The 20632-nt window shown below is 39.9% G+C and overlaps 3 annotated features.

The window, feature by feature from the left end:
* Window positions 2557-3065: an enhancer, noted in NCBI's record as "OCT4-NANOG-H3K27ac-H3K4me1 hESC enhancer chr9:79743283-79743791 (GRCh37/hg19 assembly coordinates)". NCBI's record gives its function as "activates a minimal SCP1, AML or CMV promoter by ChIP-STARR-seq in naive H9 embryonic stem cells {active_cell/tissue: H9 hESC(naive)}" and the evidence as "EXISTENCE:reporter gene assay evidence [ECO:0000049][PMID:30033119]".
* Window positions 3066-3574: an enhancer, noted in NCBI's record as "OCT4-NANOG-H3K27ac-H3K4me1 hESC enhancer chr9:79743792-79744300 (GRCh37/hg19 assembly coordinates)". NCBI's record gives its function as "activates a minimal SCP1, AML or CMV promoter by ChIP-STARR-seq in naive H9 embryonic stem cells {active_cell/tissue: H9 hESC(naive)}" and the evidence as "EXISTENCE:reporter gene assay evidence [ECO:0000049][PMID:30033119]".
* Window positions 3575-4083: an enhancer, noted in NCBI's record as "H3K27ac hESC enhancer chr9:79744301-79744809 (GRCh37/hg19 assembly coordinates)". NCBI's record gives its function as "activates a minimal SCP1, AML or CMV promoter by ChIP-STARR-seq in naive H9 embryonic stem cells {active_cell/tissue: H9 hESC(naive)}" and the evidence as "EXISTENCE:reporter gene assay evidence [ECO:0000049][PMID:30033119]".

The following is a 20632-nucleotide window of genomic DNA, read 5'->3' on the forward strand; positions in this document are numbered from 1 at the left end:
TACTCCCTTTACCCAGCAGGGAGCCTCCTGGGATCATTTGTCTGCTGTTCATTATCTTGTCTGCATTATTCAACAGCTCTGTTCTTGCTCAATGGGCTTCAGAGAGCTTTTAACAGCTGCAGCATCCTCCAATTTTTACTTAAGTTCTCTTTCTCTTTGTTACACACACACACACACACACACACACAACAGAAAAGAAAAAAGGAAGAGAAAGAAGACTTGTCTTTAACACCCAAGTGCTACCTGAGTAATTGAGCCCATATTATAACTAAACTTGTGTATTTATTCTATATTAACTGTAGTATTTGGGGGCCCAAAAGAGAAAGCTTACATTTAAATACTAAGAATATGAGGATTTAAAAAAATATTCCAAACCATCTAAAAGACAATGAAAAGGCAAAACACATTTAATTTCTTGGAGATACTAAGTTTAAGCTCTTTTTAGGGAAAAATTTCCTTTTGTATCTGGCAAACCAATAAAGTTTTTAAAAAATCACCAAAAAATCTACTACATGATTGAAAAAGAAAATAAGCTTTGAAGAAAGGGAGGAGCCAGTTTATTAGCCCCACCCAGGCCAAAACCTTTGCATTTCATTTGTTGAAATTAGGACAAACTTAGCTGTTCCCTCAGGTATGTTGTTTTTCAGAAAGGCTGACAATGTTTATGACTATGATGAGACTTAATAGTACTCCCCTTAATCTAACTAACCTAATGCTATTGAGGTAAAATAAAGTATGGTATTGTATTTATCAACCAGATGATGGATAGTGTAAAATAGTTTTTCCAATAACCAGAAGCAGGAACCTATTTGAAAATAAAAGTACCTGATGACAAGAACTGCTAACAGTGGCTGGAAGGAATGGGCAAGGAAGCATTAAACCCACAAAGAAGCTCATGGAGGCACTTCAAGGACTTATCAAATGCTGACTGTTTCATCTAAATTACGTGACATTCAGAGGACTAATGAAATTTTTCTAATCTAGACTATGGAGACCCACTGTGATCAGTTCTGATCCCAACATCTTAAGGTAAAGAATATTTTAAAAGCTGAGGTAAATGGAAAACAGCATTTAAAGATAGATCTAGCTCATGTTGATCATAAGGAATGGCGTGGTTATCCAGTGATAATGTGATTTGTAACTATATACTACATGAGCCATTCATTTTTCTAGGAAGGCTTTGCTTTGGACTAAAATGTGTAGAGGGTGAGAGTTGGGAAGAAGAAATACTTGTGGACAAAATTAAGTCATTTAAATTTGCTCCGGTGGCCCCAAGACCCTCTGACCTTTAGTAAGAAAATAAGGTCCACAGAGGTTACAGTCCATGGCCAGAATGGAATGTCTTGATCCATGTATAATAACAAGGGACTGCAATTTCCTAGCATTAGATCATCATATTAAAAACCAAGGGAGCTTTTCAGCACCACCATTTGATCAGATTAAGATCCTTGGTCTTGTACAAAACACAGCTTGTTAGCCACCCAAAGGCTGAAAGCATCTCTAAAGTGTCATAGAAATGCTAAATAGTCTCAGGCACCTGGACAATGCTTGACATCCAAGTAAAAACCAAAGACCTCCTCAACTATCAGAATATTTGTTACTGGGAAAAATCTAGATAATTAACTGAATCTGTGATTGGAAATATGTAAATAAGTGCCTGAAACTTTTATCTAAATCCTTAATATAGTTTTAGCTGGACCTCCCAAAGCACATTAAATGCTGTGAAGACAAATATGGCCTTTGTCACTTGCTTTCCAAGATGCAGGACAAATGTCTAAGAAAATTGTAACAGCTATATACTGCCTCTCAAAATTATATTCTGTATTATTACCCATATCAAATCTGAAGCTGCTTCCTTAAACTATTAAAATTCTGTTTGCAAATGTAGCATTTGCCCTTGAATATCAGATCCAATTTTGCACGTGCTTTGTACATTAATAGACGGTCTATCTTACAATGCAGTAAATTTGATTTTCATCATTACCACTTATTTTGTATGCAATCAGCACAAAACAAAATGTTTAAGATGGTGCATGTTTAAAGCAGCTTCAGTCTCACAAAACAGGTACTCAAATTGACTTTGGGAACATGACTTCAATTTTTTAATTTTAATTTTTATTTTTATTTTTCGAGATGGGGGTCCCACTGTGTTGTCTAGGCTAGCCTTGAACTCCTGGGCTCAAATAGTCCTGAGTAGCTGGGACCACAGGTGTGCCACTACACCCAGCCTTTTTTGTATTTTTAATTTTACCACTACTAGTATAAAGTCTCAGGGAGGAAAATATAATTATTTGATATATTTTACTATATTTTGGGAGCTGATTTCCACATTGTCTGCTAATCAAGACAATTTGTATAACAATAAGAAAAAACTAGAGTGTTTTTGGGGACTGGGGTCTGGAGAATGGTGGCCCCCTTTCCACAGCTCCACTAGGCAGTGCCCTCTGTGTGCTCCAACCTCACATTTCCCTTTGACATGGCCCAGGTAAAGTTTCTCTGTGAGGGCTCAGTCCCTATAGCAGGCTTCTGCCTGGGCACCCAGGCTTTCTCATACATCCTCTGAAATCTATTCAGAGGTTCCCAAGCCTTCTTCATTCTTAGATTCTGTGTGCCTGCAGGCTTAATACCACATGGAAGCTGCCAAGGCTTATGGCTTGCACATTTTGGAGCTGGAGCAGAAGCTTGAGCTGTACCTGGGCCCCTTTGAGCCACAGCAGGAGCTGGAGCTAGAGCAGCTGGGATGTGGGGAGCAGTGTCCCAAGGCTGCACAAGGCAGCAGGGCCCTGAGCTTGGCCCACAAAACCGTTCTTCCCTCCTTGGCATCTGGGCCCATGCTGGGAGGGCCTGCTGTGAAGGTCTCTGAAATGCTTTCAAGGCCTTTTTCCCATTGTCTTGGCTATTAGTACTTGGCTCCTTTTTAGTTATACAAATCTCTCTAGCAAGTGGTTGCTCCACAGCCTGCTTGAATTATTCTGAAAACGGGCTTTTCTTTTTTACCACATGGCCAGGCTGCAAACTTTCCAAACATTTGTGCTTTGCTTCCCTTTTATTATTATTATTTATGTATTTTTTCGATAACAGAGTTTTGCTCTCCTTGTCCAGGCTAGAGTGCAATAGCACAATCTCAGCTCACTGCAACCTCTGCCTCCTGGGTTCAGGCAATTCTCCTGCCTCAGCCTCCCAAGTAGCTGGGACTACAGACATGCACTACTATGCCTGGCTAATTTTTTGTATTTTTAGTAGAGTTGGGGTTTCACCATTTTGGTCAGGCTAGTCTCAAACTCCTGACCTCAGGTGATCTGCCTGCCTCTGCCTCCCAAAGTCCTGGGATTACAGGCGAGAGCCACTGCATCTGGCCTCCTCTGCTTCCCTTTTTTTTTTTGAGACTGATTTTTGCTCTTGTTGCCCAGGCTGGAGTGCAATGGTACGATCTCGGTTCACTGCAACCTCTGCCTCCCAGGTTCAAGCAATTCTCCTGCCTCAGCCTCCTGAGTAGCTGGGATTACAGGCATGCACCACCATGCCTGGCTACTTTTGTATTTTTAGTAGAGGCAGGGTTTATCCATGTTGGTAAGGCTGGTCTCAAACTCCCAACCTCAGGTGATTGGCCTGCCTCAGCCCCGTAAAGTGCTGGGATTACAGGCACGAGCCACTGCACCTGGCCTGCTTTCTTTTAAATATAAGTTCTATCTTTAAGTCATTTCTTTGCTCCTGCATCTGAGTGTATGCTGTTAGAAACAGCTAGGTCACTTCTTGAACACTTTGCTGCTTAGAAATTTCTTTTGCCAGATACCCTACGTCATCACTCTCAAGTTGAAATTTCCACGGATCCCTAGAGCAGGGGCACAATGCAGCCAGTTTCTTTGCTAAGGTATAACACATGTGACCTTTGTTCGAGTTCCCAGGAAGTTTCTCATTTTCTTTTTTCTGAGACGGAGTCTCACTCTGTCTCGCCCAGGCTGGAGTGCAGTGGCACAATCTCAGCTTACTGCAACGAATCTCCTGTCTCAGCCTCCCGAGTAGCTGGGATTACAGGCACAAGCCATGACACTCAGCTAATTTTGTATTTTTAGTATAGATGGGGTTTCCCTATGTTGGCTAGGCTGGTCGCGAACTCCTGACCTCAGGTGATCCACTCACCTTGGCCTCCCAAAGTGCTGGGATTACAGGTATGAGCCACCACACCCAGCAAGTTTCTCATTTTCATCCGAGACCTCCTCAGCCTGAACTTCACTATCCATATTACTATCAGCATTTTGGTCACAATCATTTAACCAGTCTCTAGGAAGTTCCAAACTTTCCCTCATCTTCCTGTCTTCTTCTGAGCCCTCAAACACTTCCAACCTCTACCCATTACCCAGTTCCAAAGCTGCTTCCAAATTTTCAGGTATCTTTATGGCAATACCCCACTCTCAGTATCAATTTTCTGTATTAGGCTGTTCCTGCATTGCTATAAAGACATACCTGAGACCAGGTAGTTTATTTTTAAAAAGAGGTTTAATTGGCTCATTGTTCTGCAAGTTTTACAGGAAGCATGAGGCTGACATCTGTTCAGCTTCTCGGGAGGCCTCAAGAAGCTTATAAAAATGGCAGAAGGCAAAGGGGAGCAGGCATGTCACATGGCAGAAGAAGGAGCAAGAGAGAGACAGTAAAGGAAGAGATGCCACACACTTTTAAACAACCAGATCTTTCAAGATTTCACTCACTATCATGAGAACAGCACTAGGGAAATGGTGCTACACCATTCATGAAGGTTCTGCCCCCATGATCCAATCACCTCCCACCAGGCTTCACCTCCAACACTGGGGACTACATTTCAACATGAGATTTGGGTGGGGACAAATATCCAAATTGTATCAGATTTTTCCAGTTTTAAATAGTTAAATGAATCAAAAGAAAAGTAATACTCATGACACATAAAATATTTAAAAATTCAAATTTCAGTATCCATATATAAAGCTTTGCTGGGACACAGCCACACTCATTCAATTATACATAGTCTATGGCTTCTTTTGCACAATGCCAGAGTAGAGTAAGTAAAGTACTTTTAACAGAAACCATCTGGGCTGCAAAGCCTTAAATAATTTACTATCTGGCTCTTTACAGAAAAAGTTACTGATCCCTGGGTTCGACTCTGTGCTAAGGACAATGTATATGTTATTAAATTTAAGCAGCTATAGTTGCAAAACATTTTAGTAATTTAATTTATTCCTCACCATTGTTTAGTCCTTTGTATATTTTCACATCATTTAAAAAAGTTTCTTCCTCCCAAAGAAACATATCACCAATGTGAATAACTTAAAATTTGTCATTACTAGAATAATAGTGCAAAGATAAGTTAAGTGCTGTCTTCCTCTTATTTCTTGTCTTTTAAAAGATGTCCCTTCCTTTCTTTCTACCTCTTTATAAATTGTATAAAATTTTCCTCTATAATAGTTGGAAAATTCCACAACTCTTAGAAATGAATCAAAAATACTAACTTCTTCTCAGGCAGTGCCAAGAGTTCTGTAATATATATACTTTCCCAAACAAGACTGGCAAACTTGGCCACTGAAGCAGCTGTAAAAATGGAAATGCAATCACAGAAGGAGTTATCAGCCTGATGAATTGAGGCGTCTTGACACTACTTGACATTCATTCTCAATTACCAAGTTCAGGCTTCTTGCCTTCATTGAGCAGCACTACAGAGCACCTCACATAAATAAGTGGATTCTGGGCAGCCACGATGGTGTAAGTAGCATGCTTCACTTCTTCAAAGGACTTGGGTCAGCCGACGAAGCACTAAGCATTAAATTATTTCTGACAGCAGCCACAGGCTATTAGAATGTAACCCCCCTCTCTCTTTCAGATGTTTATCTTTGAAGAATCTACTCACATTTTTATTGCAGTCATAAAGTCTGTTGTAATGATAAAAATAAAAAAGACATCTAACGTGTACCTACACACTGGAGCAGAGCTCTGGATATATTAATTGGTTTCTCTTACTCTTTCTTCAATCTGAGTAATAAGGTAAGACTTATGGAAAGTTCAAAATGGAGAAAACTTGCTGTGGAGTCAGTAGGATAAGAGTCCGGGATGTAGAAGATATTTTGTTTTCCCAAGAACATAGGTGGAAATGAATAAGGAAAGCCGAGTTTTGTCCAGACAGGTATGTTTTTGTTGCAGTGTTTATAGAAACATCATGAATTATGAGATATGAAAATATCTATAGCTTCCTTGAAATTTCACATTTCATAAAATTGTACAATGTTAGAACCCAAAAAAATTCATGTTTTATACATTCACGTCTTTATTGTGTGTCTAACACGTTTCAGACATTGTGCTAAACAGATACGTGTATGATTACCAGTTACGTTCAATGCTATTAAGGAAAGAGCAAAGTACTTTGACAGAGTCTAGCAGGAACAATGTATGTTAGGCTTGGGAATAGGTAAAGGTCAGGCAAGGTTTCTCTGAGGGAAGGACATTTAAGCTGAGTTGTGAAAGGAAGAAAATATGCCAGGCAGGAAAAATGTTCTATGACCAATGGCCAGTGGTGTGTGGTCCTTTCAAGTGAGTGAATAGGCCACTGAGGTTTGGAGATATATTCCATAAGTGTTGATCCCATCAACATGAATAACAAGATTTTTCCACCTGCCTGGCAGATTTACTGATTGAAATTGAGATTTTTGTTTGGTGGAAAGAAATGTGTTAAGAGCTCAATTATTTAATCCGTAACACGCATTGTTTACTAAATCATATGGTTAGTAGGAAAATTAAAGTTCTGGAAAATGTCTGTGATATGGTTTGGCTCTGTGTCCCCACCCAAATCTCATCTTGAATTGTAATCCCCACATGTTAAAGAGGGACCTGGTGGGAAGTGATTGGATCATGGGGCAGTTTCCACATGCTGTTCTCATGATAGTGAGTGGGTTCTCATGAGATCTGATGGTTTAAAAGTGTAACACTTCCTCCCTCGCTCTCTCTCTCTCCTGCCACTTTGTGAAGAAGGTGTCTGCTTCCCTTTCACCTTCCACCATAATTGTAAGTTTCCTGAGGCTTTCCCAGCCATGTGGAACTGTGAGTCAATCAAACTTCTTTTCTTTATAAATTACCCAGTCTCAGGTATTTCTTTATAGCAGTGTGGAAACAAACTGATATAATCTGACATGGAATCAACTAAATGTATTCAATATCTACATTTTCTCAGCTTTTTGGTATTATCATCATCATTACAAGAGATTACAAAGTATGGGGATGGAAACCTGCTTCCTATCTGTGGCTGCATTACCATGACTTAAGATGACTTGGTCCTAGAAACCATTTGCTTTGTAAAAGCCTCAAGAAGACCGACCCAAGAGTTCCAGGCCAATGTTACAACATTTTATCCTATAAAACCACACATGACAAGAGACTCATTCCTTTCTTCTATGTAAATCTCTGACAAATATATCACTAAGGGAATAACAATGATCCAATGGGGAAAATATGGACAAATAACTTAAACAGGCAAATCAGAAGAAATACCAACATACCTCTTGACTGAGCAGTTTCCATTCTAAAAATGTATCTTACAGCTACTTCTCCACCTATGCAAGAAAGTATAATTATGAAAATACTTATCATAGTACTGTTTGTAAAATAAATAAAAAGTGGAAATAGCCAAATTGTTCAATAATTGGATTATTGACAAATAAAATTCAGAATATCCAGATAACAAAATACTACACAGCAATTAAAAGAATGAGGTAGATATATGAAAAGCCATTTATTGATATGAAAAGCCATTGTCTTAGTCTATCTTCTGTTGCTTATAGATGAATACCTGAAAATGGGTAATTTATTTTAAAAAATAATTTATTTCTTATAGTTACAGAAGCTGAGAAGTCCAAAGGTGAGGGGCTACATCTGGTGAGGGCCTTTGTGCTGGTGGGGACCCTCTGAAGAGTCCCATAATGGCATAGCGTATCTCATGGTGAGGGGTTGGGCATGCTAGTGTGATATCTTAGTTTCTTTCCTGCTTCTGCTTCTTATATCACCAGTTCCCCTCCCATGATAATCCATTAATCCATGAATGGACTAGTCCATTCATGGGCACCAGAGTCTCATGATCAAATAACCTCCAAGACAACTGCATCTCTCTCCAGGTTTCTTTTTTTTTTTTTTTTTTAGACAGGATCTCACTCTCTCACCCAGGCTGGAGTGCAGCAGCATGATCACGGCTCCCTGCAGCCTTGACCTGGGCTCAGGAGATCCTCCCACCTCAGCCTCCCTAGTAGATGAGGACTACAGTTGCATGCCACCTTGCCCAGCTAATTTTTGTACTTTTTGTAAAGACGGTGTTTCGCCATGTTTCCCAGGCTAGTCTTGAACTCCTGAGCTCAAGTGATCCTCCTGCCTCAGTCTCCTATAGTGCTGGGATTGTAGGCATGAGCCACCATTCCCACCCCCTACCCCAACCTGTCAATATTGCCACACTGAGGATTAAGTTTCAACTTGAGCTTTGGAGGGAACAAGCATTCAAACCACAGCAACCACAAGATATAGTGAATGAAAAAAGCAAAGGATAGTGTGCCTAGTAAGATTCACTAGTCATTTTCTAAATGAAATATATAACACATGTGTTATTGGCTGAACTGTGTCACTCAAAGCTGTGTGTTGAGTTCCTAACCCCCAGTAACTCAGAATAGATTGTATTTGGAAACAGGACCTTTAAAGAGGTGACTAAGTTACAATGAGGCCATTAGGGTAGGACCTATCTAATCTAACTGGTGTCCTTATAAGAGACTAGGACACATGGAGAGACATCAGGGACACACACATTCAGAGGAAAGGCGGTGTGAGAGCACAGCGAGAAAGTGGCCATCTGCAAGCCAAGGAGAGACGATGCAGGAGAAGCCAAACCTGCCAAACCTTGATCTTGGACTTGTACCTTCCAGAACTGTGAAAAAATATATATATTGTTTTGTTTAAACCTCCCAGACTATGGTATGTTGTTATGGCAGCAACAGCAACCTAATACAATATGTATATATGCATATATGTATGTAGAATATTTTTGGATGTATACTCAAGAAACAGCTGATGATATTTATCTCAAGACAGTGTGACTAGGGGTCTGAGGTGAAATCTCAGTCACACACTCTATTTTGTACTTATTTATTTATTTATGAGACAAGGGCTTGCTGTGTCACGCAGGCTGGAGTGCAGTGCTGTGATCTCGGTTTACTGCAACCTCTGCCTCACGGGCTCAAGCCTACTCCATGTCAGCCTCCTAAGTAGCTGGAACTACCATATCTGGCTAATTTTTTTGTACTTTTCCTAGAGACAGGGTTTTGCCATGTTGCCCAGGCTGGTCTTGAACTCCCGGGCTCAAGCGATCCACCCACTGTCAACCTCCTAAAGTACTGGGATTACAGGCATGGACCACCACACCCCGTGTTTAACTTTTGCCATATACATCTATGGTGAGTTTGAGGATGTCTGCGCTGATCAAGGAAAACTCGGGACCATGAGACTGTAGTAGTTTTATTGCGCCCTGCTGGAACAGGGTTGCATGAGAGAGGAAGTGCCCATGGAGTAGACCTTCCAGAGACAATGGCATGGGGCCACCACTCAGAAGGAGAAGAGGGCAAGGGAACTCTCAAGGGAGAGAGGAATTATAGAGGGGTTTCGTGTGTCTAAGCAATGTCATTCAGCAACAAGTTGGGAAATTGGGTCAGAGAGCTCTGAAGGGCAACAGTAGTTCAGGGTCATTTATAACTATGGGATTTATCTTCTGTTTGGCTAGGTCGTGGGGTGCAGTTGTGTGGGGGTATGCAAAGCAAGTAGACTGAATGGCTACAAATATGCTTATTTGGCCTATATCTAAAGCAAATAGATGTGTAAAATTTTGAGTTCGGCATCAGTGGCCTTTGAGCTAACAGTCCTACTCTGCTGTGAAGAAATAAACAACATAGGGGCCAATATAAGGAACCATTTTTAACCCATTTATATAACAGCATCATTATCATTATCAAGATCATTATTGTCATCATCAACTATTTAATAGGAAAACAGAGATCTGTCCAGGTAGAAGTTTCACTCTCCGAAAAATAAGGTATCAGGCATTTTCACTTCTACTCTCCTCCACAGGGAGACCACAGACCACCCCCACCCCTTCCTCTGAATCCTCTACACCATGGCCTTTACCTAAGGCTGACAAGCTTGTGTGTACTGAATATCAGGATTTTTTTTTTTATCTCTCCTGGGAACTCATTTTACATTTTCTCAAAATGTGTTAATATACATTCATTGGTAATATCCCAGAGTCAATATGTCCTGAAAAGAAAATAATATCTGAGATATATTGGTTGATCCACAAACAGAATGTCTATTTTTCTTTTTTCTTCTTTCTTTTTTTTTTTTTTTTTTTTGAGACAGAATCTCGCTCTGTCACCTGGTCTGGAGTGCAGTGGCACGATCTCAGCTCACTGCAACCTCTGCTTCCCGGGTTCAAGTGATTCTCTACCCTCAGCCTCCAGAATAGCTGGGATTACAGGCATACGCCACCACATCTGGCTAATTTTTGTATTTTTGGTAGAGACGGGGTTTCACCATGTTGGCCAGGCTGATCTCGAACTCTTAACCTAAGCTGATCCACCCAACTTGGCCTCCCAAAGTGCTGGGATTACAGACATAAGCCACTGTGCTCGGTGCAGAATGTCTATTTTTCTAAGTAGCAGAATTATCTACACTAAAGCTTTGTGAGGAATAGGAGAGAGTGGAATCTTGCATGGTATAATTTTATTAAATGACCTCTAAGATTACTCACAGTTTTTTTTCTTTTTTCTTTTTTTTTTTTTTTTTGTGAGATGGAGTCTTGCTCTGTCACCCAGGCTGGAGTGCAGTGGCGCGATCTCAGCTCACTACAACCTCCAGCTCCCAAGTTCAAGCGATTCTTATGCCTCAGCCTCCAGAGTAGCTAGAATTACAGGCATGTGCCACCATGCCTGGCTAATTTTTGTATTTTTAGTAGAGACAGGGTTTTACCGTATTGGCCAGGCTGGTCTCGAACTCCCTGACCTCTTGATCTGCCTGTCTCAGCCTCCCAAAGTGCTGGGATTACAGGTGTGAGCCACTGTGCCTGGCCAGATTACTCAAAATATTTTATATTGTAATCTAGTGCCAGATATAATGCAGGTGGGCACTGTAAGAGTCCAAAATGAGAAAGCTCAATAATAGCTGATTAAGAATGGAATTTTCTTTTCTCTTTTTTGTGAGATGGAGTCTCACTCAGGCCGGAGAGCAGTGCGTGATCTTGGCTCACTGTAACCTCTGCCTCCCAGGTTCATGAGATTCTCGTGCCTCAGCCTCTTGAGTAGCTGGGATTTCAGGTGTATGCCACTACACCCAGCTAATTTTTGTATTTTTAGTACAGACACGGTTTCACCATATTGGCCAGACTGGTATTAACTCCTGGCCTCAAGCGATCTGCCCACCATGACCTCACAAAGTGCTGGGATTACAGGCGTGAGCCACCACGCCCAGTCTAGGGCAGAATTTTCATAGAATCATTAGGACTTGAGCTGAGCCTTGAGGAATGGACGACACTTGTATAAGAAGCAAAAAAATTGTAGGCAAGATGTCTTAGTTCATTTTCTGTTGTTACAACAGAATACCTGAGAAGGGGTAATTTATAAAGAAAAGAGGTTTATTCAGCTCACAGTTCTACAGGCTGGGAAATTCAAGATTGGGCAACCTTACCTGAAAGCTGCTGGTAAGGGTTTTGTGCTGCATCAAAACATGGTAGAGAGGCCAGGCACTATGGCTCATGCCTGTAATACTAGCACTTTGGGAGGCTGAGGTGGGCTGATCACCTGAGGTCAGGAGTTCAAGATGAGCCTGGCCAACACAGTAAAACCCTGTCTCTACTAAAAATACAAAAATTAGTTGGGCATGGTGGTGTGCGCCTCTAGTCCCAGCTGCTCAAGAAGCTGAGGTTGAAGTAAGCCGAGATTGTGCCACTGCACTCCAGCCTGCGTGACAGAGTGAGATGCCATCTCAAAAACAACAACAACAACAACAACAACAACAACAACAAAAACCACACACACAGACACACGGTGGAGAAATGAAATGGGCACTGGGTATGTACACAAAAGGAAAATCGGAGAGGCAACCTTGCTTTATAACAACATGCCCCTGCAGGAACTATTCATTTCCACAAGAACTACCCAGTCTTTTGAGGAAGACATTAACCCATCTTAATCATCTTAATGACCTAATCACTTTTTTTTTTTTCTTTTTGAGACAGAGTCTTGCTTTGTCACCCAGGCTGGAGTGCAGTGGTGCGATCTCAGTTCACTGCAACTTCCGCCTCTTGGGTTCAATCTCCTGCCTCAGCCTCCTGAGTAACTGGGATTACAGGCGCGCACCGCTGTGCTCTGCCAATTTTTGTATGTTTAGTAGAGATGGGGTTTCACCATGTTGGCTAGGCTGGTCTCCAACTCCTGACCTCGTGATCTGCCCACCTGGGCCTCCCAAAATGCTGGGATTACAGGCGTGAGCCACCACGCCCGGCCCCAATCACTTCTTAAAGGCACCACTTGCCAACACACTTATACTGAGGACAAGTCTCAACATGAGTTTTGTGCTGTGGTTTCTCGAACCATAGCACATGAGAAACAGAATTGTAGTGCCAAGGTCCCACTCACGGCAGGAGGAACCAGGGAAGAACATCAGCCTCAAATGCCTCTGCCAAAGATACAAGGTCCAAATACCAACTGGTGGCCAAGCTAAAGCTCTTCCTCATAGAGGCCACAACAAAATAACACAGGGGTGATGATCACTTCAAGGGAAATCAGAGTTAGAGCTAGAGGAGCAGAACAAAGCCATCAATAAAACAAACCTAATGGTCAGACAGCAAAGGCATTAGCAGTAAGAGGTTGAGAACTGAAATGGAAGTCAGTTTAAGATAAAAAGTTCAAATAGAAACCATGAAAATCTGAGGGTGTAGTAACCCTATTTTATGTAGTGCCCCAGGACAGGCTCCCAAGGTTTAGGGGATATATGGAGGAAAACATAACATTTCCCAATCAGATGAGATGTTTCAGCAATGTTCAATTTTTTTTTTCTTTTTAGCAATGTCCAATTGCTTTACAGACGAGAAGCTGATGTCCAGAGAGACTGGCTTGCCCAATATCATGTAACTCATAGCTGTTAAGTATGCAAAGTAAAAATGGAGATAAAATGATTGGGTTTTTGTTCTTTGGGATTTGTTTGTTTAACATTAAGAAAATTAGTTTAACTACAACTGAGAGTATGTATAGGAAAATAGAAGTAGAATGGTTCCTGATACTGGAATCATGAAAGATGGTAGAGAGCATAGATATGGTGTTTTAAGAAAATATGAATTACTTCAAGCCCAGAAGATAAAAATGTGCATAAGAACAAACAGGAAGATGCTGACATCATGTTGCATTGTAGATGTATGCTTGTGTGTGTTTTCAATTTATATATAATTGGGATGGGCGCAGTGGCTCACGCCTGTAATCCCAGTACTTTGGGAGGCCGAGGTGGGCGGATGACAAGGTCAAGAGTTCGAGGCCATTCTGGCCAACATGCTGAAACCCCGTCTCTACTAAAAATGCAAAACTTAGCTGGGTGTGGTGACGCACACCTGTAGTCCCAACTACTTGGGAGGCTGAGGCCAGAGAATCTCTTGAACCTGGGAGGCGGAGGTTGCAGTGAGCCGAGATCTCACCATTGCACTCCAGCCTGGCGACAGAGCAAGAAGGCTCCATCTCAAAAAAAAAAAAAAAAAAAAAGTATATATAATTGGCTGGGCGCAGTGGTTCATGCCTACAATCCCAGCACGTTGGGAGGCCAAGGCAGGTGGATCACTTGAGCTCAGGAGACCAGTTTGAGCAACATGGTGAAACCCCATCTTTACAAAAAATACAAATACTATCTGGGCACGGTGGCACACACCTGTAGTTCCAGCTACTCAGGAGGCAGAGGTGGGAGGATCACTTGAGCCTGAGAGGCGGAGGTTGTAGTGAACTGAGGTCATGCCACTGCAATCCAGCCTGGGTGGCAGAGTGAGACCCTGTCTCAAAAAAAAAAAAAAAAAAAAAAAAAAAAAAAATATATATATATATATATATATATATATATATATGTATATGTATATGTGTGTGTGTATATATATACATATATGTGTGTGTGTGTATATATATATACACACACACACAAAATTATTTGTAATATAGGCAGTGCTGATAATAGTCTCTGACAGAGATGAACCCCTGAGGAGAGAAGGTAGAGAGGGTAGAGAATCACCTCATGTTGTTTATGTAGGGATTTCCGTCATTTCCTTGAAAAGAAATCACTTAATATTATGTTATTTTATTATGGTGTGTCTCTGTTGGTGTATGTGTGTGTAAAATTAGTTAGTACTTTTTAAATAAAACATAAAAATATGAGCTGTACGTCCACTGGTATTAAGATGGGTGGCCTGTCAATGTAATGTTGTTTAAATGCTAAAAAATAAAATAAATTTTTATGAGAAGAGTCCCTTGAGGATACAAAACATGTATTTGCCCTAAGTAATAAATGAGGTTTGTAATTGACATAAATAATTCTTCAATTGTAGATGTTTTAGGAGAATATTGTTTTTTGGTGATAAAATGCCTAGGGTGAGATTTGATGTAACGTTTTGGGACAAATAAACAATGTCTTGGTCCTCAGTTTCTACAGGGTATTCAAAATTGTCCTTACTACTACAACTACTATTTCTGTCCCCATTATCTATTACTAGAAATATATATCTATGTAGGCCGAGCGTGTTGGCTCACCCCTGTAATCCCAGCACTTTGGGAGGCCAAGACAGGTGGATCACCTGAGGTCAGGAGTTCGAGACCAGCCTGGCCAACATAGGGAAACCCGTCTCTACTAAAAATACAAAAATTAGCTGGGCATGGTGGCACATGCCTATAATCCCAGCTACTCGGGAGGCTGAGGCAGGAGAATTGCTTGAATCCAGGAGGCATAGGTTGTAGTGAGCTGAGATCGCACCACTGCACCACAGCCTGGGCAAAAGAGCAAGACTCTGTCTCAAAAAAAAAGAAAAAGGAAAAAAATATATATATGTAGCACTTTATCACTCCAGCCACAGATGACTATCAAGTCATATTTTTTAAATGTTGACACTGATAGGTGGCATATATAGTGAGGTAAGAATTGTATGAGTTTCTGAGCATTTGTTTTAGTAAGCATTCTAAAATTAAGCTCAGAATTTTTGTAACATATAAAGCTGAATAGACTGCAAAAAGCCTTTATGAAGACTGCCTGAACTTCTGACCACTTACTTAGCGAACAACATAACCTTCAAAGCATTTGCAAAGTCAATCAAACATTTTAAAGTTTTAGCAGTTTTATAAGTATAAAACTGCTTTATCTGTGGATAAAAAAAAAATCTATAGTTGATGCCAATGAAATGTCACAAATGAGGTCAAATAAACTAGGAAACCACCCGAAACTCCACTATGTAAGGCAAGAGAACATTGAAGGAAGAAAATGAATTGGAACTGAGAAAAATAATAGTAAAACTCTATAGGATTAATAAATTATCAGCATTGTTTGTACTATAAATGTTCAGCAAATTGCAATCAACCCTGGAGGAGTTTGTTGTAGAAAACGTGTCTTAACTCTGAACCCTATATTCACATGTGGCATGTACTTCTCTTTTCACTGGACACAAATATGGCTTTTATAATCAGAAGAAGGTAACTTCCTACACAGTTGACATTTCCAAGCATCATTTATAATTCACAGGGACAGATTTTAGATTGAATCAGTATGTATTATCTCAAATCTGCATTACCTAGTCGAAGTTCTGTCATGGGACTCATTAAGGGATATAACTGAGAACAAGATTTTGAATTGTGTCTACAAGTAAATGAATAAAATGTTAATATTTCATTAATGACTGCTAAGTTCTCATGGGTTCTATTGTACTCACTATAAAATGTATAGTGTTTGCCAAAATATATGATCTTATTCTTTGAATAGTTTATTTTACAGATATAGAATCTGAGGCTTAAAGGAAAATTGGCAAAATTGGAACTAGCACCTATGCCTTCTCTTTGTAAACCAAGTAGTGTGTTATTCATCAAACTATGCCAATATCCGGAAAATCAGGGCTCCACCCTGCCTGTTTCTAGAAGCACCCTTCCACTTCTATCCGGAATGGATCTTCAGTCCCTACATTCATGATGGCTGTGTCTGGTGCTTGCTAAAGTGTCTGTTCTGATTGATTTCTTTTTTTTTTTTGAGACGGAGTCTCGCACTGTCGTCCACACTGTAGCGCAGTGGCACGATCTTGGCCCACTGCAACCTCTGTCTCCGGGGTTCAAGCAATTCTCCTGCCTCAGCCTCCCAACTAGCTGGGATTACAGGCACCCACCACCACACCCAGCTAATTTTTTGAATTTTTAGTAGAGACAGGGTTTCACCATGTTGGCCAGACTGCTCTCAAACTCCTGACCTCAGGTGATCCACCCGCTTTGGCCTCCCAAAGTGCTGGGATTACAGGCATGAGCCACTGCGCCCAGCCCTGACTGATTCTTAATAATTTGAATATCACCCTTGATCAATACAAACCTATTCAGTACCAGATTTTCAAGATTGCTAAAGGTAGTCACGGGGATTAAATCCATTCTGAAGATTGATGGCATAATATGAACATTAGTCAAGTGACTTACTGACATGTGCTTAATGAAAGCTATAACTGTTGAATAACTGAATAAACATTGGACATTAGCCATTGTTTGGACTTAGTATAGAGTAATTTTTTATGGGAAAGACAATGTAATAGCAGGATGTAGACAACTTAATCCCCAGAATAAAAGATAGCTATCTTAATCTGATGGTATATGTAGGCCTGCAATTATATTTTAATAGTATGCTTTATTCAGTTTAGATAGCTATAAATATCTTTCCTTGTCTCTACACAGTTTGTCTAATCAGATTTCAGTGACTGCATACTATGCTAATGGATATAGATTTGATTTTAACTATGACATTACCACTTTAAGATTAAATGTAATGGTAATAATGCTTTTGGTAAACTCACGTTTGAGTTTATATGATACAAGCCATTAAAATATTACTTTTTTTTTCAATGAGTTATTATTTTGATGATTTAGGCTCCTGAAAGTCTTGTAATTCTAAGGTGTGAACTAACTTAATTTATCTTGGAAAATGTGAAAATGTTCCTTGAAGGTACAAATTACTTTCACAATAAATACCAAATGATTTTGATTTGCTTAACATAAAATTTAAATCAATATGTTACATGCTTTTGTAGGGAATATGTCTGTCTATACATTATTTCTGTGGACAATAAGGAAAAGATTCCAACTTTGGAAAACTAGAATATAATGAGTTTGGAATAAAAAAGTAAAGCCCTATTCACGGCCATTGTGTTATTATGTATGATATAATTTTCACAATCAAAAAATACCATTTGGATATTCATGCTATCATGGTTGTTTGGTACTTTGACTGCTGCCGCTGTTTCAGCTCAGACAAGAGTGTGATTTCATCCTGAGGTCAAATCCCATGCAAGCACGATTTATCGAAGCAAAATTTCATCTCACAAAAGCGTAATGCATTCTGCCAAACCTGTTCATGCCAATGCAGGTCATTTAATATATAATTGGCTGCAGCTGGCACTCACACAAGCTGTGACATTTTCTATCAGCAACAGGGTAGTATTTGGAATGCCAAAGAAACAATTACATGCTGCAGATGAGAGCCTGAAGTGGAAAAAGAGGAAATGCAGTATTAAAGAAACCAGCCCTTTTCCATTTCAAAGAGGTAGTGAGGAAGCTACAGTACCTGTCATTCTACTTTCTTCTATAAAATGTGAGAAGTGAAGAAAAGAGAAAATATTGACTTGGGAAATAAAGGATGAAATCATTTGGGGTCTTCTGTTTAGAGAAGGCAAATAAAATAAAGAGAGTATTAATTAAAAGGACCCAGAGACCACTTAATATTAAGGAAAAATGGCATTGACTCATAAAATGTCCTTCCGTTGGTAAATAAAGGAGAGAGAAAAAAACTGAAAGATGAATGGAGGAAAAAGGAATGAAAGAAATAAAGTAAGAGAGGAAGTAATCCTTATAAAAAGAAAATAGACCAGGAGAATTTGGGAAAATAGAAACCTAAATAAAAAACTGTAGCATCAGTAGATTACTTTAAACGCTTGTTTTCTCTAGTAGTTAAATGTAAAATAATATAACAAGGATACAAAATTTTGGGGTCACCCATTAGCAAAGATTAAAAAGAAATTTAATATCCAGTTTGGGCAAGTATGTGGAAAAACAGTCTTGTACACTGCTAGTGGAAATATAAATAAATAAACTGTGTGTGGAACTAATGGGTAAAACTTTATTAAAATATTCATACCCATTGACTCAACAATTCCCCTTGGCTGTGCATGGCAGCTCACGCCTGTAATCCCAGTACTTTGGGAGGCTGAGGGAGGAGGACTGTTTGAGCCCAGGAGTTTGAGACCAGCCTGGGCAACATAGGGAGATCTGCCTCTCCAAAAATTAAAAAATTAAAAAATAGGTGGTTGCAGTGGCACATGCCTGTGGTCCTAGTTACTTGGGAGGCTGAGGTGGATTGCAACAGAGCAAGACCCTGTCTAAAAAACAAAGAAACAAACAAAACAAAATAAAACAAAAATCCTTATAGGAGAGACACATATAAGTATGAAAATATATGTATACAAGGATATTCTCTGCAGAATGGTTTATGGTCAAGAAAAATTGAAAAACAACCAAAATAAGCATATGACATTTAAGTTCATCCATACAGTGAAATGCTATACATAAGCTAGAAATAATTAATAAAATCATATGTTAATAGAATGTCCAATATATATTAAGTGAAAGTGCCTACAGTAGTAGTAGTAATACTAATAATGAGCATAATAAAAAGTTAATATTGTATGATTCCAACTATATGACATTCTGGAAATGGCAAAACTATGAAGACAGTAAAACAATAAATCAGTGGTTGCCAGAGGTTAGGGGAAAGGGAGAGGTGAATAGGCAGAGAACAGAGGATTTTTAGGGCAATGAAATTATCCACTATGGATACTTGGATACAAGTACATTCTACATTGTATCTTGATATATCTAGAAGATATAAGATACAATGCATCTTGTATCTGCATTGTATCCTGTATCTCAGTGTACAGAGCTGGATCTGCAATGGTGGATACTTGTCATTATACACTTGTTAAAACCCATAGAACCTACGACATCAAGAATGAACCCTAATGTGTATATGGATTTGGGGTGAGAAGGATATATCAATGTAGAATCATGGACTGTAACAATGTACCACTCTGGTGGGGGATGTTGATAGTGGGGAAGGCTGTAGGGGAAGGAACATGGGAACTCTCTGTACTTTCCACTCAATTTTGCTGTGAACCTAAAACTGATCTAAAAAAATAAGGTTTACTGAAAATTTTTAAAAATTAATATTTATCCAGTGGTATGATCACAGCTCACTGCAGCCTCAACTTCTCTGGCTCAAGCAATCCTCCCACCTCAGCCTCCAGAGTAGCTGGGACTACAGGTGTGCACTATCATGCCCAGCTAATTTTTTATTTTTTTTTGGAGACAGGATCTCTCTATGTTGCCCAGGCTGCTCTCAAAATCCTATACTGAAGAGATCCACTCACCTCAGCCTCCCAAAGTGCTGGGATTACAGGTGTAAGCCACCACATCCTGCCAAGAACTTATTTTTCATGTCGTGCTAATCCGTTTATAGCATTATCTCATTTAATTCTCACAAGAATTTTATTACATAGGTAGTATTTTTATCTGCAGATGAGGAAATCTGAGACTTACAGAGGTTAAATAAACTGCCCAAAGATGCTCATAAGAGACAGAGCTGTGTCTGAAAAGCAGATGCTCCTGGCTCCCACATCCAGGCTTTCCACATGGGGCATGGGACTTACTGGGCTCCCAAGACCAGGTCTTGTGTAGATTCTCAAAGTCCAGATTCCCAAAGTATAAACAATCCAGTTTTAGAAGAATTATCTTACTAAATGCATAGGAAAAAATACAGAGTGTTGGCCAAACTGTTAACATCCTTTATTAAGGAGAAACTGTTGGATTGTATTACATTCTGTTCATTTCTGCAAGGTTTGTAATTTTTTATAACAGCACTTACTTCTCTATAAAAAGAACAAAAACCAATAAGTTTAACAAAATGCATAATTTTTTTTTCTTTTTTTGAGACAGAGTCTCGCTCTGTCCCCAGCCTGGAGTGCAGTGGTGCCATCTCGGCACACTGCAACCACCGCCTCCCGGGTTCAGGCAATTCTCCTGCCTCAGCCTTCCGAGTAACTGGGACTACAGGCGCACACCACCACGCCCAGCTAATTTTTGTATTTTTAGTAGAGATGAGATTTCACCATGTTGGCCAGGATGGTCTTGATCTTTTGACCTTGTGATCCGCCTGCCTCAGCCTCCCAATAGAGTGCTTAATTTCTGAAAGTTGATAGCAAAGTAGCATTCTAATGTGACTGATATAGGCCCAGCGCAGTGGCTCATGCCTGTAATCCCAGCATTTTGGGAGGCTGAGGTGG

This window comes from Homo sapiens, chromosome 9, assembly GCF_000001405.40.
Source record: "Homo sapiens chromosome 9, GRCh38.p14 Primary Assembly".
NCBI lineage: Eukaryota > Metazoa > Chordata > Mammalia > Primates > Hominidae > Homo > Homo sapiens.